This window comes from Homo sapiens, chromosome 14 (genome assembly GCF_000001405.40).
Source record: "Homo sapiens chromosome 14, GRCh38.p14 Primary Assembly".
In the NCBI taxonomy this organism is placed as follows: Eukaryota; Metazoa; Chordata; class Mammalia; order Primates; family Hominidae; genus Homo; species Homo sapiens.
Window position 1 is genome coordinate 40,277,382 of NC_000014.9, and position 25,744 is coordinate 40,303,125.

A 25,744-nucleotide genomic window follows, 5' to 3' on the forward strand; every position below is an offset into this window, starting at 1 on the left:
GTGCATTTATATTTAGGATTGTGATATTTTCCTGTTGGACAGGGCTTTTTAACATTATGTAATAATGTCCCTCTGTGTCTCGTTTAACCACTGTTGCTTTAAAGTTTGTTTTCTCTGATATAAGAATAGCTACCCCTGCTCACTTTCTGTGTCCATTTGCATGAAACGCCTTTTTCCACCCCCTAACTTTAGGTTTCTGTGAGTCTTTACGTGTTAGGTGAGTCTCCTGAATGCAGAAGATAGTTGGTTGGTGAGTCCTTATTCATTTTGTGGTTCTGTAACATGTAAGTGGATCATTTAGGCCATTTACACTCAATGTTAGTATTGAGATGTGAGGTGCCATTGCATTCATCGTGCTATCTGTTACCTGTGTACTTTGGCTTATTTGTTTTTCATTATTGCTTTTTAACTCGTATTTTTGTTTTATAGGTCCTGTGTTATTTATGCTTTGAAGATGTTCTGTTTTGATGTGTTTCTAGGATTTGTTTCAATATTTAGAGCTCTTTTTAGCAGTTCTTGTAATGGTGGCTTGGTAGTGGCAAATTCTCTCAGCGTTTGTTTGTCTGAAAAAGACTGTATCTTATATGATGCTTAGTTTCACTAGATACAAAATTCTTGGCTGATATTTGCTTTGTTTGAGGAGGCTGAAGATAGAGCCCCAATCCCCTCTAGCTCATAGGGTTTCTACTGAGAAATCTGTTGTTAATCTGATAGATTTTTCCTTTATAGGTTACCTTGCGCTTCTGTCTCACAACTCTTAAGATTCTTTCCTTTGTCTTAACTTTGGATAACCTGATGACAATGTGTCTAGGGGATGATCTTTTTGTGATGAATTTCCCAGGTGTTCTTTGTGCTTCTTGTATTTGGCTGTCTAAGTCTCTAGCAAGGCTGGGGAAGTTTTCCTCCATTATACTCCCAAATATATTTTCCAAGCTTTTAGAATGCTCTTCTTCCTTAGGAACAGTGAATATTCTTAGGTTTGGCCATTTAACATAATCCCAGACTTCTTGGAGGCTTTGGTCATATTTTCTTAGTAAATTTTTTTAATTTTTCTTGGATTGGGTTAATTTGAAGACATTGTCTTCGAGCTCTTAATTTTTTTCTTCTACTTGTTCAATTCTATTGCTGAGACTTTCCTGAGCATTTTGCATTTTTGTAAGTGTGTCCATTGTTTCCTGAAGTTTTGGTTGTTTCTTATTTATGGTATCTATTTCGTCGATAATTTCTCCTTGCACTTTTTGTATCAGTTTTTGGACTTCCTTGCATTGGGCTTTGCCTTCCTCTGGTGCCTCCCTGATTAGCTTAATAACTAACCTCCTGAATTCTTTTTTCAGGTAATCAAGAATTTCTTCTTGGTTTGGATCCATTGTTGGTGAACTCGTGTGATTTTTGGGGGATGTTGACAAGCCTTGTTTTGTCATATTACCAGGGTTGGTTTTCTGGTTCCTTCCCATTTGGGTAGCCTCTGTCAGAGGGAAGGTCTAGGGCTGAAGGCTGTTGTTTAGATTCTTTTGTCACACATCGTGTTTCCTTGATGTAGTACTCTTCCCCTTTTCCTATGGATGTGGCTTCCTATGAGCTAAACTGCAGTGATTGTTTTCTTTCTTCTGGGTCTAGCAACCCAGAAAGTCTACCCAGCTTGGGGCTGCCACTGGGGGTTGTCTGCACAGAGTCCTATGATGTGAAATATCTGTGGGTCTTTCAACCATGGATACCAGCACCTGTTCTGGTGGATGTGGCAGGGGGGTGTAGTGGACTCCTTGAAGGTTCTTAGCCTTAGAGAGACTGAGCTCTCTGTTGTCTCTCCTTATAAGTACTCTAATCCTATAATGAGGACCTCATCCTTATGAACTTATTTAAACTTAATTTCGTCCTTACATATTCTATCTCCAAATATAGTCACATTGCAGGCTGAGGCTTTAGCATATGAATTTTGGGAGGACACAATTCAGTCCATATCAATTACTGTCATTCATTTCACTAACCTGTATACTATAACTACCCAATACACTTTTTCTAGTATTAATGTATTTTTATTACTTTAAACAAGCTTTTTAAAAATTTCAGTTAAGAATATGGAAAGTAAAATATTTTACCTTCATTTATTCCTTCTATAATGGTCTTCTTTTCTTTATGTAGATTGAAGTTTTAACCTATATTATTTTTCTTCTGCCTGAAGATCTAAATTTCATGCAGAGCAGGTAAGCTGACAATGAATGTCCTGAGTTTTTTTGTTAGTTTGAGCAAGTCTTTATTTCTTTTATTTTTTTTACTTATGAAAGGTGATTTCATTTAATATAGAATTCCAGGATAGCAAAGTTTTTTGTTTTGTTTTGTTTTGTTTTGTGTTTTTGTTTTTGTTTTCATTCCAGTCCTTTTGCCCAAGTCTCTTTTTTCTTGCAGGTTTCTGATGAGAAGACTACCGTAATCCTTGCTCCTTGTTTATCTCTTGCTTCCTTCATAATTTTCTCTTTGTTTTTGGTGTTCTGAAGTTTAAATATGATATGCTGAGGTGATTTTTCTGTTTGTTTGTTTTTTTTGTGTATCATGCTAAGTGTTCTCTGAGCTTCCATGATCTATGTTTCGGTTACTGCCATTAATTTTAACAGATGCTTACCCATTATTTTTTAAAATATTTTTTCTACCTCATTCTTTCTTTTTTTTCCTTGTATTATCCCAATTATTGATGCATTACAACTTTTTAAATTGTCCCACATTTTTTTTATTTCATTCTCTTTGCACTTGAGTTTGGGAAGTTTTTGATTTTTTTTTAAATTGACTTCATTTTTGGAGCTTATTTAGAGTTACAGCAAAATTTGGAAGAAATCACAGGGTCCCCATATGTCCCTTGCCCCCACATGAGTACAACCTTCACTTCTATGAACATTCCATCAGAGTGGAACATTTGTTATGACCGATGAACCTACATTGACACGTCATTATCATCCAAAATTCATAGTTCATATTAGGGTTCACTCTTGCTGATTTGGGAAGTTTTTATTGACCTATCTTCAAGCTCATTGATTCCTCATCTGTGTCATCTACTGATGAGCCATCAAAAGGCATTCTTCATCTCTGTGACAGTGTTACTTTTCTCATTTATAACATTTACTCTTGATTCCTCTTAAATTTCTCACCTCTCTACTGATATGACCCATCTTTTTATTATATGTTTTCTACTTTTTCATTACAGCTTTTAGCATATTATTATTTAAAATCATCTATCTGATAATTCACGTATTTGTGTCATATATGATTCTGGTTGTCATGTCTGTTTGCTTTTTTCAGACTTTTTTTTTTTTTGCCTTTTGTTATATATTTTAATTTTTGGTTGTAAGCCAGACAGGCTATGATGAATAATAGCAACTGAAGTAAATGGGCCTTTGGTGGGAAGATTTATGTTAATCTGGCTAGGAGTTGGGTTGTGTTCAATGCTTGTTGTAGCTGTAGGTGCCCAAGGCTTCAGCGTCCTCTAGTGTCCTTGTTTTTATCTCCCCTTGACTTTAGGACTTCTTTGTATACTGCTACCGAACGAACATTTACATCTTGCAGCTCTTTCAGCTATAATCTACTGAAACAATCTTAATGCAGTGAGAGAGTAACAGTGAGAGGGGGTGACATTCCAAAATCCAATTAAGTTTTAGTCGTTTGGTAGGCCCAGGTGTCTGGGCTGTAGCCTTCACAAGTGTTCCTGTCCTTCACCTTTACTCATATCCTAGATGCAATCAATGTTCCCAGTGTGTTTCTTTGAAATGCTCAACCATGTTGACTAATTTTTCCCCTTAGGTAAGATAATAGGCTAGAGGGCACCATAATTGGTAGGAATCCTTTTCCTGGTTGAGGCAAGATTTTAAAATTGTGCTCTGACAATTACTTCAAGGACAGCAGACCTTAGTTATGGAGAACATTCTAAACATGTTTTACAAAGTTACGCTCCTCTCCTGCTTCCAAGGGTACTGAGGATTTTTCTTGGATCCTCTGTAAGAACTTGATGGTTCTTGGAGTGCAAACTATGAAAATGTTGCCCTCCTAATCTTGAGGCCCCCAGAAAGTCTTTATCTCATGCTAGTGCACACTCAGTATCCAGAAATTAATCAAAATTATCATTTAAGTGTTCTTAACAGCTTGTAGCTCCAGCAGTTTCTGCTCCAGATAAACAGATTTCATCTGTGATTCCCTTTATTCACCTTTCCAGATTTCAGGGTGATGATTTGCTCTGAGACCTCAGTTCTTTAATGGGTCCAAGAAATGTCACTGAATTTCAATTTGTCCAGGTTTTCTGTTGTTTTTGTAAGGATGAGAATGACTACTTCCAAGTTCTTTATATTTTGAAACTGAAAGTCTACCATGCTTCATTTTAATGATTTTTATTGTAGTTTAAATGTGTAAGCATTTCTATCTCAATCAGTTTTAGTTCTAGAATATCTAAGCAGTACTGAATATGCTGTAGCAATTTAATTTTTGCAGCAGATAATTTGGGGCATGCATCTGCTAACATTTGAATGGAATCTTAAATTGAACTTTAGGTGAAAATGTTCAAGGGTATCTACTGAATGTTTTAAAGTCTTCCACAAATATTATAAATATGTATGCAAAAACATGTTTGGTTTTGTGCTTTAAACACACTTTTTTGGTATGTGCTATAACAATTAACTGTCATTTATGAACACAAATTTATTAAATATTTGAAGACTTCCCTATTGCTGATTTTGCTGAAGTGTTATTATCGCTATTGCATGTAAAATCTAAGTGACTTTGGTTTGAAATGCTAGTAATCTAAATCATCAGAGGTGTTTTGAAGTTTACTGGCTCTGCTACTTTGAAGACAGCATCTAGATGTTCAGCTAATATTCTGGCATTGACCACAAAGAAAAGACAGCTTATTTTCTTCTCATTTTAAAGGTTTTGCTTACATTAAAAAATAAATTTTATGTTAAAAAGGAAAATAAATCATTGTGACACCATAACTGAATCTGTAGCAAATTCTATTCATGCTGCTACTGTGAAAGCTGGAAACTGACCAGAATGAATTAGCGGTGCTGATTCTAAAGATTTCACAAGTAAATGGAAGCCAAAAATAGTGCTAGAATCAAACACAAACCAATAGAATTATAGTAGCATCCCAAAATGTTGATGTTTAATATTGTAACAAATGTCTTAAGCTTTATTCATGATTTGAAAATTTATCCATATAGATAGTATACATAATCCAATGCACACAATATATTTCTAAAAATGAAATAATCATAAAGATGTGGAATAATTGTATTATAAGGCAGTATTTTTCCTGCTGTTATATATTACCTTATCTACATTTCAGTTTCATTTTCCTATGAATTTAGTTTAGAGATATGGTAATTCAAATATAATTTTTAAAATGATCCTAGTTTAAAATTCAATTCACTTATGTCAGTGTATTACATACTATGAATGATGTTTCCAGTATAATTCAGAACCCAAAACAGCTAGGTTTCTTTAGCCTAAATTACTAATTTGTTCATAAAATGACATCAAATGCAATAACCTTAAGAAAAAAATCCTAGTGAAAATTTAATTACCATTTTAAAATAACAATTAATTATTAAATAGTGAAATACTAAATCAACCAAAGGTGAAACCTCTAGCTATTTTTTACTTTGACAGAAAGTTTACAATTTTTGGATTGTCTCAGTTTTAATGCCACAGAATTTTTATAGAGAAGCACATGTGCCTTAATTTATGGCCTGAGTTGTATATATGCTTCAGAAAAGACTGTTCACATGGAAGAAAAAAAAAAAAACACCAAAGGGAAAAGGCACAATAAGTTTTATGTGTGGTGGTAAACTAGAATATTATGACTAAGTTGATGCATACATATTGCTTGTTTCCATCTAAGAACTCAGATGCATAAGCTTCTTTTCACCAAGACCAACCCTTCATTATTTTCAAGCTTGACAATGAGAGTCTCCCTGAAGAAACAAGAAGAGTCTTGTTTGCCCAGCCCTAGAATTATGTTTGACTGGTGTTATTTCTCAAAGCCACATCTTAATTTGTTTCCCGAGCTTCACTGGAAATTCCTCGATGAATCCCAATATTCATATTTGCAGTCTTGAAAGTGAATCTTTGCAGAATAAGAAGACTGTAGAGGACTTTCAAAAATAGTTTCAAAATAAAAATATATGAGAGATTAAAAATGATAAAGACATATCCACAAATTTGACTCCACACAATATGTAAGGACTTTGAGAAATAATAATTCCATGTTATATATGGGTTCATACTCATTCAAAGCTTACATTCAAATCATTTTAATTTAAGACAGAGTTTAGTAGCACTTTCATGAGGTACAGAGATATGGAAGAGGGGTTATTGCTTTCTGAACTTATTGTTAATACCTTATATGAAGAAGTGGCATTTGAGTCCTGACTTCAAAGTTTCATGTAATTGGGGATAAAGGAAAGCATTTAGAGTCTGTGAGCAATAGCATAGAGAATGAAAATGTAAAAAAAAAAAACCAAAAAAACTGTTCTCCATAATAAAGAATAGCTCACTTTTGTTTCAATGGAGGAGGCATGGTCACTAGAATTTGGAAATGAAACTTGGATATGGCCAGTTTATTGAGGCATGGCTTCAGATTTTAAAACATTATTTTGAAAGCAATTCTGGCATGAGAGCAATAAAGAGGAAATTACAGTTGTCTATGCACCAGAAAAATACTTATTGGAAATGTAAATTTTAAAACTGGAATACTGTAACAGACAGGTTAGAGAATTAATAATATTTGGTACCTGGTTAAAAATAAAAATGAAACTGAGAAGAAAAAAAGAGTCAAAGATTGACTTCCAACTTGGATACCAGGGATTATCCTTGTACAAAAATGGGAGGAAAAACAGATTTACATAGGAAATTATTGTTTTTTTTGGATATCCTGACCTTCAGATATTGTTGTCTATCAAAGTCTTGCATTCATCATGATAATTTGCTGGTATTACAGATGTTAAATTGAGTCTCAAACACACTCAGGTCCAAAAATCTGTGGGTCACCAGCAGATTTTTAAACTCAATACCTTTGTCTACAATAACAGCTGTTTTTCTATAACGAACACTCTTCTTTTTCCAAACACAAGTGTGATAGGTAGGTAGTATCTTAGATAGCAGTAGTCCCCAACATTTTTGGCATCAGGGACTAGTTTTGTGGAAAACATTTTTCCACAGACTGGGAGTCAGGGGAATGGTTTTGGGATGAAATTGTTCCACCTCAGATAATCAGGCATTAGAATCTCACAAGGAGCATGCAACCTAGATCCCTCACATGCACAGTTCACAATAGGGTTTGCATTCCTATGAGAATCTAATGACACTGCTTATCTGACAGGAGGTGGAGTTCAGGAGGTAATGCTAGCTCACCTTCCACTCACCTCCTGCTGTGTGGTATGGTTCCTAATAGGCCATGGATCGGTACCGGTCCTTGACCCAGGGGTTTGGGACCCCTGTTATATCGGACTAGAACATGTGCCAAGGAGCCAAACATGCAGGGTACACACTCTCACTTTGCCACTTCTCAACCATTTAACCTGGAACATCTTACTCAACCAGAGTGAATTTCAGTGTATTCAGTTAAAAGCTGGATATTAATACCAACTCATAAGCTTGTTCAAAGTGTTATATGTAACAATGTTTTAATAGGCAAAGTAGTATAAAATTAGGAGAAATTTGTATAAGACTGGAAGATAATTGAATCCTACCCATAAGCCACAGATATCAAAGACTTTTGCTAAATTAACTACATAAATATAACTCACAACTCACCTTACTAACACTGTGAAAACAAAATAAGATGCTGTTACACCTATTTGGAGGCCACAGATATGGAGATAATGTGATATGATAGCATAGATTGGGAAGCCCAATATTGACCTATTTGCACTCTACTGAGCTTGATTGCCCTTTACTTCTATGACAGTTGAATTCCTGAGAAGCTATAGATAATCACACTGCAGATATTTAGTGTGTGGGCCAAAGGTACATGTGAGAATAAAGACAGAAAGTTTAACCTCCACCATGTGATTCTTTCTTGATACAGCAGGGCTGATGCATATTTTAGTAGCTTCAGGAAAGAGGTTTGAACATAGTCTCATTATATTTGTGTCACAGAAGCTGGCCCTCGTAAATGGGACTCACTAGAAACAGAGGAGACCCTAAAGAAAGGATACCTGCTGGGACTACCTGTCACCCACCTAGCTTCTTTTTTGTTTCAAAAAGCTGGGTTTCTTAACCGGAAGTTTGGCATCACTTCCAATATGGCAAACACAAATCTTTGACTTTAGGAACATGAAAGGAAGAAAACTCACCAGACTTAGTGTTTGTTTCTAGGGGTTACTTAATAATCTGTTTTGCCTTATTTTCCCAAGTATAAAAAAGATTACTGCTTAGAGGAGAATCATGATGATCTTTCTAGTCATAGATCACGTTATATAGTAGTAAAAAGCATACGCTTTGGTATCAGACAAACCTGAATATGTATCCTTGATCTGATGCTAGTTAAGAGGTGTTCAACTTTGGGTATGATATTTAAATTTACTAGGCCTCAGTTTACTTGTCTGTGAGAGAGGAATAACAAAAACAACATAATGATAATACTTTATGGGTTGCTCTGTAGAATAAATAGGATAATTCATGCAAGCAATTGGAACATAGACTGACACATAGTAAAGAATTATTGAATATCAATATTATAACTGATGGGACACTGAATTTTATTCCCAATTGGAAGAGCTATCAAAGGGCTTAAAAATTCAATACCATTCTCAATCTCTCTCTTCTTATTGTAATTCAGTCTTCTATTTATTTTGTGTGACAAACTACCTCATAATTTACTAACTTAAAACACATTAATAGTTATCATCTTTCACAGTTTTGTTGGTTGACTGCACTCAGCTAGGTGGTTCTCTTTTGGAGTATCTCATATGGTGGCAGTCAGAAATTAGCTGGGGCTGAGTCTACCGCTTGACCAGGCTAAATGTCCAAGATGGCTCACTCAGATGGTTTACATTTGATGCTGGCTATTGGCTGGAAGTCAGATGCTCCATGTGGCCAACACATGGCCTCTTTGTGTAGCTAGGACTTCTCAGCAGGCAGCTGAGTTCCAAAGGAGAATGTCTGAAGAATATTTTAACAAAAAGAAGTAGGAGACAGCAGATAAATTGAGATTTGTTAGAACTGACACAGTATCTCTTTGGCCATATTCTATTAGCCAAGGCAGTTATGAGTCTTGGCCACATTCAAAGGTGTGGAGAAATAGACTCTGCCTTTTTGGTAGGGTGGGAAGACCACATTGTAGAAAAGCATGTGGGATGGGAAATATTATTGTGGTTATTTTTGGAAAATGCAATAAGGTATAGCATACTCCCTTACCAGGGCAATTTACATCCCTCTCTTAAATAAAATATACTCACCTTCTCCCTTGACCTTGTGAAAGTCTCATCATTATGGCATCGAATCTACAAGGGCAGGATCTTAGCATTTAAACCAGGTCGATGTGCAGATTTGTTGAGTGCTGCTCTTCAAGTAGTTCCTCTTGATCTAAAGAACTATGTAAAACAAGATATGCTATTTAACCCTTATAGACTCAACACATAATGTTTTTTAAACACATAAGATATCTACAGTATACCCTCCTGTTCAAAAAGGAGCATGGAAGAGGAGGCTGATAGTCACTAATCCACAGCAATTCTGGAATCCAGCATGCACATGTCACCACTTACTTGATTGGAACCTCTTGCTTCCTAGCAGCAGTGCCCAAGCTATCTTGACTTTGTCCGTTGAGTTACTCTTTTTCCATATGAAATAGCCCATGTTGGCAGTGAAAACATGAGGGCCTAGAGACCTCTTTTTATAATGAACATCTCTGTCCTATTCAGCCTAAGTTGATATAATTCCTTTTAAAACTCTGTGGGTTTCTTATATACCAAAGTAGAAGTAATTCCATTAGGCAGAATACACATCTACATTTTTCTCAAACCAACCTCCTGTCTACTTGACCTGGCTATAATCCTGTGTGGGACAATATCCTTAAGGTTCTTAGAAACATTTTTTCTAGTTCAGTGTTAGGCACCACCTTAAATATTTGAAGTCTCTACAAATAATCTAAAATCCATATCCTTGATGGTAATTTTAACCTGGAGCCACATAGTACTGCCATCCCCCAACATTTGATGAATCTGAGTTCATCTGTTATTTTGAGAACTTTTTGCTGTTTGGAATCACTGGGGATGAGAAACTTCTATTTCATATTTTCTCTAAATTCTGCTCAAAATCAGAATAGTCCCTTCTTTAACTCTCTTTATAAATTATCATATGAAGCTAAAACAAATCAAGTACCTGAAAATGTATTTCATTAGAACTTTCAATTTATTAAGTACATATTATTTTTTCAATGTTACTACAAATAACAATTTTACTAACCTTCCCACCAGTATATAACATTAGTCATCTTTTTCTTATTATCCTATAGCGATTTCCCCACTGTCATTTTCACCCCCTGAACAGTTTTCTTGTGGTCCTTCAAGGCTCTGCTTTTATATGGCTGCATAGTATTCCATGGTGTATACATACATTTTCTTTATTCAGTCCAACACTGATTGGCATCTGGGTTGATTCTATGTCTTTGCTGTTGTATATATTGCTGTGGTGAACATACAAGTGCCTGTATCTTTTTGATAAATCAATTTATACTCCTTTGAGTATATACCCAGTAATGGGATTACTAGGTTGAAGGGTAGTCCTGTTTTAAGTTCTCTGAGAAATCTCCAACCTGCTTTCCACAGTGGCCAAACTAATTTAAATTCCCACCAGCAGGGTATAAGAGTTCCCTTTTATCTGCAATCTTGCCAACATCTGCCATTTTCTGACTTTTTCATAATAACCATTCTGAATGGTGTGAGATAGTTTCTCATTATGGTTTTGAATTGCTATTCTGTAATAATTAGTTATGTTGAGCATTTTTTTCATATGCTTGTTGGCTGAATGTATATCTTTTTTTGAAAAGTGTCTGTTCGTGTCCTTTACCCACTTTTTATTGTTTATTTTTTGCTTATTGATTTGCATAAGTTCCTTATAGATTCTGGATATTAGACCTTTGTTGGATGCATAGTTTGCAAATACTTTTTCCCATTCTGTGCATTGTCTGTTTACTCTGTTAATGGTTTCTTTTGCTGTGCAGAAGATCTTTAGTTTAAGTAGGTCTACTTGTCTATTTTTATTTTTGTTGCAATTGCTTTTAGAGACTTCATCATGAAATCTTTGCCAAGGCCTATGTCTAGAATGGTTTTCCCTAGGTTTTCTTCTAGGATTTTTATAGTTAGAGGTCTTAAATTTAAGTTTTTAGTCCTTCCTGAGTTTATTTTTGTATACAATAACATGAAGGGGTCTAGTTTTAATCTTCTGCACAGGGTCAGCCCATTATTCCAGCACCATTTATTGAATAGGGAGTCATTTCCCCATTGCATGTTTTTGTCAGTCTTGTTTAAAATCAGACAGTTGTAGGTGTGCTGCTTTATTTCTAGGATCTCCATTCCATTTCACTGGTCTATGTTTCTGTTTTTGTACCAGTACTATGCTGTTTTGGCCACTGGAGCCCTGTAGCATAGTTTGAAGTCAGGTAGAATGATGCCTCCAGGTTTGTTCTTTTTACTTAGGATTGCATTGACTATTTAGGCTCTTTTTTTTAGTTCCATGTGAATTTTAACTCTTTTCCCATTTGCCCCAAGAATACTTGCTGCCAGTGCTGGCAGCTGAAACATTTACCCTCAGATAACTTTGCCACAAAATATCTCATTTTTAAAATTATTTTTGCATTACACTAGTATATAGACTTTGGAAACAAAAGACATCATTCTACTTACAGCATTCAGTTTTTAGTAGTGGTATTTTCATTTACAAAATATAGTAATTCTTGATCACTGAAAATGTCAAACCCTAGAAAATGTAGCATTCCTATGCTTGATGTTAACATCATTCTCAAACAGTTGTTGGCCGAAGAGTCACTTGATGCATCCAATTTTTCCAAAGTAGACGATTCTGATGATTCAGATTCTGCTGTTAGTTCTGTTTAGAAATAACTCTAAGAACAGTTTTCATATTTTATTTTTACCTTGAAAATTAGATTTGCTTCAGCCTCAAAGAGCTTGTTTATGTAAAATTAAATGAGCAATGGCAACGAGCTGCACTTTTTTTTTCTAAATGAGAAAAGGGTTAAAAAGTTTTTCCAAGTTCTGTAAAGAATGTCTTTGTCAGTTTGATAGAAATAGAATTGAATCTATAAATTGCTTTGGGCAATATGTCTATTTTAACAATATTGTTTCTTCCTATCCATGAGCATGGAATACTTTTCCATTTGTTTGTGTCATCTCTGATTTCTTTCAGCAGTGTTTTGTAATTCTCATTGTAGAAAATTTTCATCTTCCTGGTTGGGTGTATTCCTAGATATTTATTCTTTTTGTGGCGACTGTGAATGGAATTGAGTGCCTAATTTTGCTCTCAGCTTGGATGTTATTGGTGTATATAAATGCTACTGATTTAGGGGGCATTGATTTTGAATTCTGAAACTTTACTAAAGTTGTTTATCAATTCTAGGAGCCTTTGGTTACAGACAATGGGGTTTTCTAGGTATAGAATCATATTGTCTGTGAAGAGAGTGAGTTTGACTTCCTCTCTTCCTATTAGAATGCCTTTTATTTCTTTCTCTTGCCTGATTGCTCTGGTTAGGACTTCTTGCCTGATTGCTCTGGCTAGGACTTCCAGGACTTCTGCATAGGATTAGTGAGAGTGGGCATTCTTGTCTTGTTCTGGTTGTCAAGGGGAATGCTTCCAGTTATTGCCCATTCATTTGGCTGTGTTTAGGGTACATGTGCACAACGTGAAGGTTAGTTACATATGTATACATGTGCCATGTTGGTGTACTGCACCATTAACTCGTCATTTAATATTAGGTATATCTCCTAATGCTATCTCTCCCCCTTCCCCCACCCCACAACAGGCCCCAGTGTGTGATGTTCCCCTTCCTGTGTCCATGTGTTCTCATTGTTCAATTCCCACCTATGAGTGAGAACATGCAGTGTTTGGTTTTTTGTCCTTGCGATAGTTTGCTGAGAATAATGGTTTCCAGCTTCATCCATGTCCCTAAAAAGGACATGAACTCATCATTTTTTATGGCTGCATAGTATTCCATGGTGTATATGTGCCACATTTTCTTAATCCAGTCTATCACTCTTGGACATTTGGCTTGGGTCCAAGTCTTTGCTATTGTAAATAGTGCCGAAATAAACATACGTGTGCATGTGTCTTTATAGCAGCATGATTTATAATCCTTTGGGTATATACCCAGTAATGGGATTGCTGGGTCAAATGGTATTTCTAGTTCTAGATCCCTGAGGAATTGCCACACTGACTTCCACAATGGTTGAACTAGTTTACAGTCCCACCAACAGTGTAAAAGTGTTCCTATTTCTCCACATCCTCTCCAGCACCTGTTGTTTCCTGACTTTTTAATGATCGCCATTCTAACTGGTGTGAGATGGTATCTCATTGTGGTTTTGATTTGCGTTTCTCTGATGGCCAGTGATGATGAGCATTTTTTCACGTGTCTTTTGGCTGCATAAATTTTTTCATGTGTCTTCTTTTGAGAAGTGTGTGTTCATGTCCTTCACCCACTTTTTGATGGGGTTGTTTGTTTTTTTCTTGTAAATTTGTTTGTGTTCTTTGTAAATTCTGGATATTAGCCCTTTGTCAAATGAGTAGATTGCAAAAATTTTCTCCCATTCTGTAGGTTGCCTGTTCACTCTGATTGTAGTTTCTTTTGCTGTGCAGAAGCTCTTTAGTTTAATTAGATCCCATTTGTCAATTTTGGCTTTTGTTGCCATTGCTTTCGGTGTTTTAGACATGAAGTCCTTGCCCATGCCTATGTCCTGAATGGTATTGCCTAGGATTTCTTCTAGGGTTTTTATGGTTTTAGGTCTAACATTTAAGTCTTTAATCCATCTTAAGTTAATTTTTATATAAGGTGTAAGGAAGGGATCCAGTTTCAGCTTTCTACATGTGGCTGGCCAGTTTTCCCAGCACCATTTATTAAACAGGGAATCCTTTCCCCATTTCTTGTTTTTGTCAGGTTTGTCAAAGATCAGATGGTTGTAGATATGTGGCATTATTTCTGAGGGCTCTGTTCCGTTCCATTGGTCTATATCTCTGTTTTGGTACCGGTACCATGCTGTTTTGGTTACTGTAGCCTTGTAGTGTAGTTTGAAGTCAGGTAGTGTGATGCCTCCAGCTTTGTTCTTTTGGCTTAGGATTGAGTTGGCAATGAGGGCTCTTTTTTGGTTCTATATGAACTTTAAAGTAGTTTTTTTCCAATTCTGTGAAGAAAGTCATTGGTAGCTTGATGGGGATGGCATTGAATCTATAAGTTATCATGGGCAGTATGGCCATTTTCACGATATTGATTCTTCCTACCCATGAGCTGTGGTTTTGTCATAGATGGCTCTTATTATTTTGAGGTATGTTCCTTTGACACCTAGTTTGTGCAGGGTTTTTAATATGAAGGAATGCTGAATTTTATCAAAACCCTTTTCTGTGTCTATTGAGATGATCACATGGCATTTGTTTTTAGTTTTGTTTATGTGATGAATCACATTTATTAATTTCCATATGTTGAATTAACTTTGCATGTCAGTAATAAAGACTACTTGATCATGGTGGATTAGCTTTTTAATGTGTTACTAGATTAGATTTGCTAGTATTTTGTTGAGGATTTTTGCATATATCATTAGTGATCTTGGCCTAAACTTTTCTTTTTCTTTTTTTCTTTTCTTGTGTCTCTGCCAGGTTTTGACGTCAGAATAATGCTGGCCTTATGGAATGAGTTAGGAGTCCCTCCTCCTCAAGTCTTTGGAATAATTTTAGCATGATTGGTAGCAGTTCTTTATTGTGTGGTTGAATTCAGCTGTGAATCCATCTGGACCAGGGCTTTTTCTGGTTGGTAGGCTTTTAATTACTGATTTAGTTTTGGAACTTATTATTGGTCTGTTCATGAATTCAATTTCTTCCTGGTTCAATCATCAGGGGTTTTATGTTTCCAGAAATTTATCCATTTTTTTCTATATTTTCCAGTTTGTATGCATAGAGGTGTATGTAATAGACTCTGAGGCTTTTTTGTATTCCTGTGAGGTCAGTGGCAATGTCCCCTTTGTCATTTCTGATTGTGTTTATTTGAATCTTCTCTCTCTTTTTCTTTATTAATTAGGTAGTAGCCTACCAATCTTATTTATTCTTTCAAAAAACAAACTTTGAGTTTTGTGGATCATTTGTATGAATTTTTCCATCTCAATTTTGTTCAGTTCAGCTCTGATTTTGGTTATTTCACTTCTAGTAGCTTTGGGGTTGACTTGCTCTTGTTTTTCTAGTTCCTTTACATGTGATGTTAGGTTGTTTGAGATCTTTCTAACTTCCTCATGTAGGGTTTTAGCCCAATAAACTTCCTCTTTTCAGTGCTTAAGCTGTGTGTCAGAGGTTCTCTTATATTCTACCTTTATTTTTCATTAATTTCAATGATTTTGTTTGCCTTAATTTCCTTCTTTATCCAAAAGTCACTGAGGAGAAAGTTGTTTAATTTTCATGTAATTGTATGGTTTTGAGAGATATTCCTGGTATTGATTTGTTTTTATTGTGTTGTGGTCTGAAAATGTGGTTGATATGATTTGGATTTTTTTTTCAGTTCATTAAGAATTGCCTTATGGTCAAATGTGTCATTTATTAGAGTATATGCAGTGTGCAGATGTGAAGAACGTATATTCTGTTGTTGTTGGGGGGAGTATTCTGTATATGTCAGGTTCATTTGGTCAAGTATCAAGTTTAGGTCCTGAATATTTTTGTTAGTTTTCTGCATCAGTGATCTTATGCTGGCAGTTGGGTGTTGAAGACCCCACTATTATTGAAACAGGAGAATTTTCCTTATCACCCTCGCAGGGTGTGTGACAGGAGTGTGGGCTCGCTTCTTCTGTGCCTCACTACTTAAACTTCTAGGCAGTGCAGTGGTCGTGGGGAGCATTTTTGGGCTCTGACCACACGATAGCATCTGGGGTGAGTGTTTACAGCTCCTGAAGCCTAAGTGGGCATGTGTTAGTATGCTCTTTCAGCTTTGCAGTCTGCAGGCTGCTTGCATTAATCAGCTCAATTAGACCCTCTGCCTTAATGCAAAGACAGAGAGCTTTCTGTATCCCGGCTTCTTGCCCTAGTGTACTCAAAAAATCGGATCATATGTGGGCTTGGAGGAAGAGTGCAAGGTTTTATTGAGTAGTTGAGGTAGCTCTCAGTGAGATGGATTGGGAATCAGAAGGGGGATGGAGTGGGAGGGTGGTCTTCCCCTAAAGTCGGGCCACCTGGCGGTCGGACTCTCCTCTGACTGCCCACGGCTAAATTCCCCTTGGTGTCTGCATTGTTCCACCATTGCAGGTCTCCTGGTGTCTGCTGGTGTGTTCTTCTGCTCCTCTCAACTTCCGGCCACTTGTGTGTGTGCCTGCTACAGTCCTGGGTTTTATGAACACAGGATGCAGGGTGTGGTGGACCAAAGGCAACTTTTTGGGTATGAAAAAAGAAATGCTTGTCTTCATTTAGGTCCGTGGGCACAGGCCTGAGGGTTGAGCCCTTGCCAGGGACCCCGCCCTTCTCTACTTAGCACTTCCTGCCCCGTTCTCATATCATTGTGTGGTTATCTAAATCTCTTTGTAGGTCTCCAACAATGTGTTTTATGAATCTGGGTACTCCAATGTCGGGTGCATATATATTTAGGATAATTAAGTCTTCATGTTGAATTTAACCCTTATTCATTATGTAATGCCCTTCTTTATCCTTTTTGATCATTGTTGGTTTAAAGTCTGTTTTGTGTGAAATAAGAATGACAACCCTTGCTCTCTTTTGTTTTCCATTTTCTTAATAAATCTCCATTACTTTACTTAGAGCCTATGAATATTTTTACATGTGAGTTGGGTCTCTTGAAGATAGCATTCAGCTGAGTTTTGCTTCTTTATCCAACTTACCACTCTGGGTCTTTTAAATAGGGCATTTCGCCCATTTACATTCAAGGTTAATATTGATATGTGAGGATTTGATCCTGTTATGTTGTGAGCTGGTTGTTGTGTAAACTTGGTTGTATATTTGCTTGATGTGTCTGTGGGCTATATACTTAAATGTGTTTTTGTGGTGGTTGGTAACGATCTTTCGTTTCCATATTTAGCACTCCCTTAAGGACCTCTAGTAAGGCAGGTCTAGAGTTAACAAATTTCCTTAGCATTTGCTTGTCTAAAAAAGAAATTTATTTCTTCTTTGCTTATGAAGCTTAGGTTGGTGAGATATGAAATTTTTGGTTGGAATTTCTTTTCTTTAAGGATCCCAAATACAGGCTCTGATCTGTTCTGGGTTTTAGGGCTTTTGCTGAAAGACCTGCTGTTAGCTTGATGGGGTTCGCTTTGTACATGACCTTACCTTTCTCTCTAGTTGCCATTAAGATTTTTTCTTTTATGTTGACTTTGGAGAATCTGATGACTATGTGTCTTAGGAATATAGTATCTTTCAGGGATATTCTGAATTTCTTGAAATTGCATATTGACCTTTCTAGCCATGTTCAGGAATTTTTCATGGGGAATATCCTCAAATATGTTTTCCAAGTTGCTTGCTCTCTCTCTGTTTCAGGAATGCCAATAAGTCCTAAGTGTGGCCTCTTTACATAATCTCATATTTCTCAGAGGTTTTGTTTATTTTTAAAAATTCTCTTATATTTTTGTCTGCCTGCATTGATTCAAAGGAGCAGTATTCAAGCTCTGAGATACTTTCTTCAGCTTGGTCTACTCTGTTATTAATGCTTCCAGTTGCATTCTGAAATTCCTGTAGCAAATTTTTATATTTCCAGAAGTTCAGTTTGGTTCTTTTTAAAAATGGCTATGTCATCTTTCAACTCTTGGGCTGTTTTACTGTGTTCCTTGGATTGAGTTTGAACCTTCTCCTGTATCTCTATGAGCTTCCTTGCTGTCTAGATTCTGAATTCTATATCTATCATTTCAGCCATTTCAGTCTAGTTAAGAACCTTTGCTGGGTAGCTAGTATGATCGTTTTGAGGTAAGAAGACATTCTGGCTTTTAGAGTTGCCAAAGTTCTTGCACTGGGTCTTTCTCATCTCTGTGTGCTGATGATGTTCTTTTAATCTCTGAAGTTGCTGTCTTTTGGCTGTGGCTTTTTGCTTTCATATTTTTTGATGCCCTTGAGGATTTGACTGTGGTATAAAATGGGTTTAGTCAATTGGCTTTGTTTCTGGATGGTTTCAGGAGACCAAGGCTCCACTTAGTACTCCTGGGCTGTGTGCCTTAACCCTATGTAGGTGAGACCAGGCCTGTGGCTTTGTTCTCTTCCTCCTCCTGGTTAAGCACTTGCTGCACTGGAGAGTCTGAGGCATTCCCAGTATTCTGGCAACCACACTTTGATGGTGGCTGCCCTTAAAAGGGCTCTGGTGGGGTAGTGGTGGGCCTGCACACATGTGTACTCCAGTGGGGCAGTGGAGAAAGGCTGTAGGTGGGTGTCCACTTGTGGGGTCCATCTGCAAATGTGCGCTGACAGGTAGGCAGGGTCTGCTAGTGAAAGAGCTATGGTAGTGTCTGCTGGCAAGCTGAGGCTAAACTGCAAGTGGGTGTGGCCAAGCAGGGACCCTGAGAAAAGCTGGCAGACAGAGTGGTGCTCAGATCAGACTGTTCCTGTCCCATGGGCAAGACAGCCTTGCTCTGTCCATGTCCACTAGCTAACTAATGTGAAAGCTGCCTGGAGGAGTATACCAATCCTTGGGAGGTGGATGTCCATGGCCATGCTCCAGTGCAGCTGTTCCTACACAAAACTTTCTGGGCTTCATGCAGGCTAGATTTTGGTCTCTGCTAAGTCTCTGAGTAGTTTTTCTTGCCAACTCAAATGTCCATGGGGGTCACAGGGTCTCCTCCAGCTAAGATCCCAGAGGTCCATGGTGAAAGTGGGCCACCCCATGCCTATTTCACTCACCCTTTCCCTAGGAGACACTTGGAGCCAGAAAAAGTCCTCATGCTCAGCAACCCTTTGCAGGTTTCTTAGCTTCCTCCCCTTTTAGCCTGGTGTCTGTTGCCTTCCTCTGTCCCCTGTAAATGTTTTCTTTCTGAAGAACTATTTGGAGTTTGCTTGTTTACTTGTTTGTCTGTTCTCTCTTCATGGGAGAAGGTCTTCCAGGCTGCATCTAGTCAGCCATCTTAGCTATCTCCAAGAACTTTATTCTTTGCTCTTTTTCTTCTTCTTATCCTCCTCCTCTCTGTGTACCTTTGCTGCCTCCTCCTTTCCCATCTTGTTCTCACATAACAGCTTTGCCAAAAGCTTCAATTTAGGAATGTCTGGGTAGGAGGTTCTAGACATCAGGGATAAATACTATTTTCTACTCTGCCTCTCCAGATATATTTTCTTATGTGCAGCATATCTCAACATAATTTTAAATTTTGATATTTGCATGATGTAGGAGAAATAGGTCATTTCTTTTCTTTGTCTTTGAGTACTATTCTATAGCAAATGAGGCAAAAGAGTATTCCATATGTTCCCTGTCAGATTGTTCACATCATTAGTGTATTGCATAATGGTTTGGGACCAAAAGTCAAGTTATAATTAACATGCTATTTTGATTCCTTTACTTCTTTCTGTGTTTCCTCTGTTTGAGTCCTCTTGGGATATAGTGTGACAGTCAAGTCAGGACTCAGGTTAATGTGGATTTCTGGTGAAAGGCCATGTAAGATCTTATGAATACCATATGAATAAAATTCACATAACTTATAAAAAATTAGCATGAGACACAAAGGGAACAATTTCTGTATTAGACAAAATCACGGCCATTTGAAACAATGTTCCTGTAAGAAACATGAAAACTTAAAAATTTCAACTTATATCTTTAATAAAATTGGAAAGGATATTTAATGGGATTGAATAGGTTAAAAGCAGTCATAAAAATGTATACAAATTATTGTAAAAGGAAAACATGATTGACTATTTTTTGTTTAAAAAGCACAATGGAAGGAGTAAATATAAGATAGGATATTAAAAAGACAAATTTTTTGAAATAGAGGACATGGTTAAGAAATCAATGACTCATAAAAGCAAAACATATAAGACAGTGGATCTTAGTATATATTTAATATTATTACATATTAAGTGAGCATCTATTATAATTTTATGTAAAACAGTATCTTAATTATTTGGGACATAACACTAAGCATAGTAGACACTGTTCTTTTTTTGCAAGAGACAAGAGTCAAGCAAATGAGACAGAAAATTAAGTAATTACAGCAAAGCATGATAAATTGTCTGATCAAGGAAGTACAGATTGCTAAGAGAGTGAATAATGATTATTTGAAAGTACTCTTAATAAGGTCAGAAAGTCTTATCAGAGGAAGTGATATTTAAAATGAGATCTGAAATATGAATAATAGGTAAAAATGATAGTAATGTGCAAAGAGTTCAAATCAGAGGAAATACCATATATAACACCCAATTAAAACCATATAGACAAATAACACACGATATTCAAAGAAATCGGAGAACTATGTTGATGACAATTGGTTCATTTCTTTCATCTCTGTGATTCATTGAGTTAAGCTAGGTTAAGGCAGATACTTGCAAACTCTGGGTGAAGCCTCAAGCTAAGAACCAGCCTATAGCATGGCCCAGCATGCCTTGAGACTTACATTTTTTAGTATGACTGTGCAAGAGTTGAATACATTCAGCAGAGTGTTCTTAGATTTCATAGGACTTGCCCATGGCAATTTTTATAGTTTATTGCCACTCCTTACTTTTGACTATCAGTCTCATATTCCTGGATCTATGGACACCCTCTATTTATCTGATTAAAATCAAAACAATTGCTTCCCAAAACATGCTTTAAATTTTCTGTTAGATATATTTACATCAAATCTGTAATTTTTGTTCTTGAACACTATATTTTCCATTTTTTCTCTGCCAAATATAATAATAGTAATAATATTTATTGAATATATCAGACACCATTTCTGCCATCTTATATTTAATAAATTAGTCTTCATAATAACCCTGTAAGTAGGTGCTGTTTTTAAGTTATTAACACTTTACAAATAAGAAAAGTAATACAGGGAGCTTGAGGAACTTGCCTAAAGTCACCATTGCTAGAATATGGTGGGGCTAGTTTCAAGTATTTTAGTCTGACTGCAGAGCCACATTCTTAATCATTGTATTAAAATACCTACCTTATTATAGATCACTGTTTTTTACAGTAGTCTCATATTTGTTGCTTTAAGAAATGCAGTGGAAGAAGAAAAATAAGATAAATGGAAATTAGTGATAAAAGAAAAAAGCAGAAAAAAAATTCCCTGAGCTTAAGAGAGAAGTGCAACATCAGCTTGAAGTTTCTCAACAAATGTCACACAAAACTTATTATACTATGTGGCTCATAAGAATATTAATGTGTGTATAAGTGTGTGTGTGTGTGTGTGTGTGTGTGTGTATGTGTCCTTTAAGAATCTAGACCAAAACATACAAATTTTATTTTGAAAAGTAGATTGACAATAGACTTTTCTATAACTTTTAAATTTGCTAAATAAATGTAGTGAGGCAATGACTGGAGATCTTAATGTCATTATAAGGATTGAGAATTTTAGAAACAGAAAAGGCTTTAATCTTTAGTGAGATACATATGTCATCCAAGAGTTTAGACAAGGTACCGCCAAGATACTCTTCATCAAAATGTTTCAGGAAAAAGAGCTTAAAAAGTGGGAGCTAACTAGTGGAAGTTCAGTGCCTTTGTGGTGGTAGAAGTATGGTGAATGAGAGTAATTGAAAGGCAAAAACATTCAACAAATATTATTAGAGCACCAGGCAGGATCTTGGGACTCATCAGTGATAAAAGCATAAAATATTGTTTCATGTAGAGTTCTCATTTTGGGGGGAACATAGATAATGATAAGCATTGAAAATAAGAACCATATGTCGTGTGTTGAGTGATGATAAATGCTATGGAAAGAATCAAACAAGGAAAGAAGAATTCAGTGCTAGGCATGGAGGAGGACAGATCTCAATTGCAACTTGTATGTTCAGGTCAGATCTCATTAAGAAAGACGTATTTGAGCAAATACTTGAAGGGGTGAGGGAATTCACCATGTGGAACAAAGAGGGGATATAGCCATCGCAAAGATCCTTATGAGGGATTGTGGCTGGTGGGTATGAGAAAGGGATGGACTATGTGGTCAGAGTAAAGTGAGAGAGAAGTCTAGGGTAATAGTAGTGGGGTGGAGTGGGGGCACAAATCAAAAAAGATCTTTAAGGCTTCATAAAGGTTGGCATTTTGTTTCAAAAGAATTGGGGAGCTATGCCACGGTTTAAGAGGACACAGAATATAATATGAAATACTTTTTAGAACTATTATAGCTTTCATGAAGAAAATACACACTATAGTGGGGCAAATGTTGAGCTGTGATATCCAGAAACCAGCAACAGTAGTAGGAAGTCAAGGAAACTCCTAGTCCTGAGGAAAAGATATTATAGGAGTCTTGGGAGCTGGATCCATGAAAGAGGGGCAGTCCCAATGAGGCTGTGGTCATAGAGGGACTCAGAACAAGGAGGCATGGGAAAAAATATACTTAAACATTTTTCTCCTCCTTTCCACTGATCTCCTCCCAGGACCTCAGTAGCCAATACATCAAGAGGCCATCTTCAGGGGAATTCTTACTTGGCCTTTTTTCTGTTGATTTTAACATCTGAGTTATCCTAAGATTGATTTTCTTTATTGCCTTTCTCATTATGCAAGGATTTTTTTCCTATGAAAGTGCAAATTAACAAATAAAAACCACAGAGAAAATAAGAAAGTTGTATATTCTAATAATTAACCCAAAGCTGTCATCCCAGAAAGTTTTGGAGGTAATAAGGTAATAATGCTCATTATCTTTAGACACAGAGTGGAAAAAACAAGGTTTGAAAATGAATCTGATGTGGGGGAACAGACTGACAATAACCAGCCATATCTACCAAATAGCTATACATGTACTTTATAAATTACAATGAGAAATCTGAAACAATTACTACAAGTATCATGACTGTACTTCAACTTAGTGAGAGACTGGAACATCATTGAGTAACACTGCCTTCATAAAAAATAATTCCTAAAATATAGAACATGAAAATATTCATTAAAAATAATATTTACATGCTGATACTGCAATTTGATTAAAAGCTATCCATGACTACTTTGTTTATTAAAATAATAGAAACTAGAAGTTGCTTTTCTATAAATGTTTAATTACATTTACAACTGTTCTGTTGTAAATAATTGTTGTAAATAACAATTGGATCTAGTTGGTTAATAATGTTGCTAACATTTTCTATGTCGTTACTTAATTTGTTTCCCAAATCATCTATGAATTATCAAGAGAGACAAATTAAAATATTCAAACATCACTTTGGATTTCCCATTTTGCTTAATTTTATTCCATATGTTCCAAAGCTCAGTACATAGGCACATACACATTTAAGACTGTTATGTCTTCCTGGTAAATTGACCCTTTTTTCAGTTGTGGAAAGTCTCACTTTAAATTTGGTAATATCCCTTTTCTGGAAGTCTATATTAGTTAATATTAATAAAGCCATGGCAGGTTTTGATGCTTCCTCCTTGTATGTATTTTTTTAATCTTTTTACTTTCAAGCAATAGACATCTTTAATGTCCATCTCTTACAGACAGTGTGTAGTTAGATCTTGCTAAGAATCAAGGTCTTTGAGTTGAAGATTTTAGTAGGTTCGCAGTCATGTTTGCATTCATGTATATTGTGTTACTACAATAATTACTTTCTATTTGTCACATCCTTTTTGTTGTTGTTATTAATTTTCCTGTGTGTTTTTTCTTTCTTAATTTGTTTGAACTGATTATTTTATTTTAATTCCTTTACAGGCTTTTAAACTACATGTATTTGCATTCATTTTTGAGTAGTTGATCTAGGCAGAATTAGAATATGCATCATTAATTTATCACTATCTTCTTAGAGTCCTCGAGCATATCTTTAATTGGAAATTTGAAGGCTTTTTGTTATAATTCCAATATTATGGTTATCCTAAGATTTGTTTATGTTGATACTACATTTTATTAAAATGCAAAGTTTCCTCTCTCTCATCTTGAAGAAAATGCTATTTAACAAAAAAATTAAATAAGAAGCTGAAAATAAAATAAAATAAATCACATACATTTTAAAAAAATTGTCCTAACTTGCCAGTCCAGATAGCTTTAAAGGCAATTCTCATCATTATTTTAAAAAATCACTAAAATAATCTAGGCTTTTCAAAGTATAGGGAATTGTGGAAACTATAATTCTAGCAGGCCATATATTTATGATTCAAAACAATGAAGTCACCAAATAAAGCTTTTAGTATTCTTAAATTAGAAAAATTAGCCTTATTTCCATATCATAACAAATAATAATTAGCAGTTACCATCACAATTCATGGTAAAACCTGACAGTCAAGTTGTTCTAGAATAACCTGAGGTGCTTGATATCATCATTTTTACTTACTAATGTTGATATCATCCTATCTAATGCAAAATAAAATAAAAATTTTTTAAATTAAAATGATATTTGAAAAGTTACAATAAAATCCTCCTTATTTGTATAAAGCTCTAATAATATGATTATCTTCTGGATAAATCCAGCAAATGAACTGTAATGTTATTATCCCAGGTTAACGTTCAGTAAGATTATTACTTAGAAATAGAGATATTTCATTGAAGAGCTAACTAACCAAAACATTTTTTTTGTTTGTTTCGAGAAATGGGTGTCTCACTGTATCTCAAACTCTTGGGCTCAAGTGATCCTCCCACCTCAGTCTCCCAAAGTGCAGACATGAGCCACTATGCCCAGTCCCAAATTGTGTCAGCTTATGCAAATTCCAAATAAAGTTCTAGTGGAAACTATGGTTTTCTATTGTACTCTTGGGAACATGATTCTATTTATTACTATCTGCCCTTTCACATCACACTCGGCAGTTTATAAATATATAGAAGATACTGCTATCATTTTAATTTAGAAGGTTTTAAAATCTCATCCTGAATATTGTCATTTTTATGACACATATTTTTCTATGTCATAAAAATATATTTGAGATACAACATATGTTAAAAGAAACAAAAAAGTCGTAGAAGAATGCACCTGTCACCATTTACTAAACCTTCCATTTAAAATAGCTTTTTGTGATATAAAACTAAAGATAGAAACCATAGAGGAAAGTAATCATTGAAAACAAAACAATGAAGTATTTTTAAAAAGTAAAATAGAGAAACCACCATTGTTAGAGAAAAGTTTGGAGTCATCTTCATGAAGGTGCTAGAGTATTCTGTGAGAATTTATAAAGCTGGGATAAAGGGGAAAATGTTCATTGAATCAATTTTTTAAATTATAGAGTGGGAGAGCAGAAAAAACAAAAACACCTGGCTATGGAGACAAAAAGAGGCAGTTCAAGAAAAGACAAGGGAAACAGCATCACAGAGCACAAGAGATTAGATTTTTTAGTAGAAAAATGTGTTCAAATGATTTGAAAGCTAAGAGAATTTCAAAATTCTGGAAGTTTCCAGAATTAGTGATTGAAAAGTCATTGATAACATGTGATTATATGATATGTCTGAAGATGTTTACATACAGTAAGTAAAATTAATTATGA

The 25,744-nt window shown here is 35.7% G+C and overlaps 1 long non-coding RNA gene across 1 annotated transcript in view; it reads right to left on the reverse strand.

Annotated features, from left to right (window-relative positions):
- The window catches only part of LOC105370463 (uncharacterized), a 117,571-nt gene that overhangs the window by 46,375 nt on the left and 45,452 nt on the right, over positions 1-25,744 (reverse strand). The window contains exon 4 of the long non-coding RNA XR_943786.3: positions 9,435-9,569. This is a non-coding gene — a long non-coding RNA (uncharacterized LOC105370463). The remainder of the gene's footprint in view (positions 1-9,434; positions 9,570-25,744) is intronic.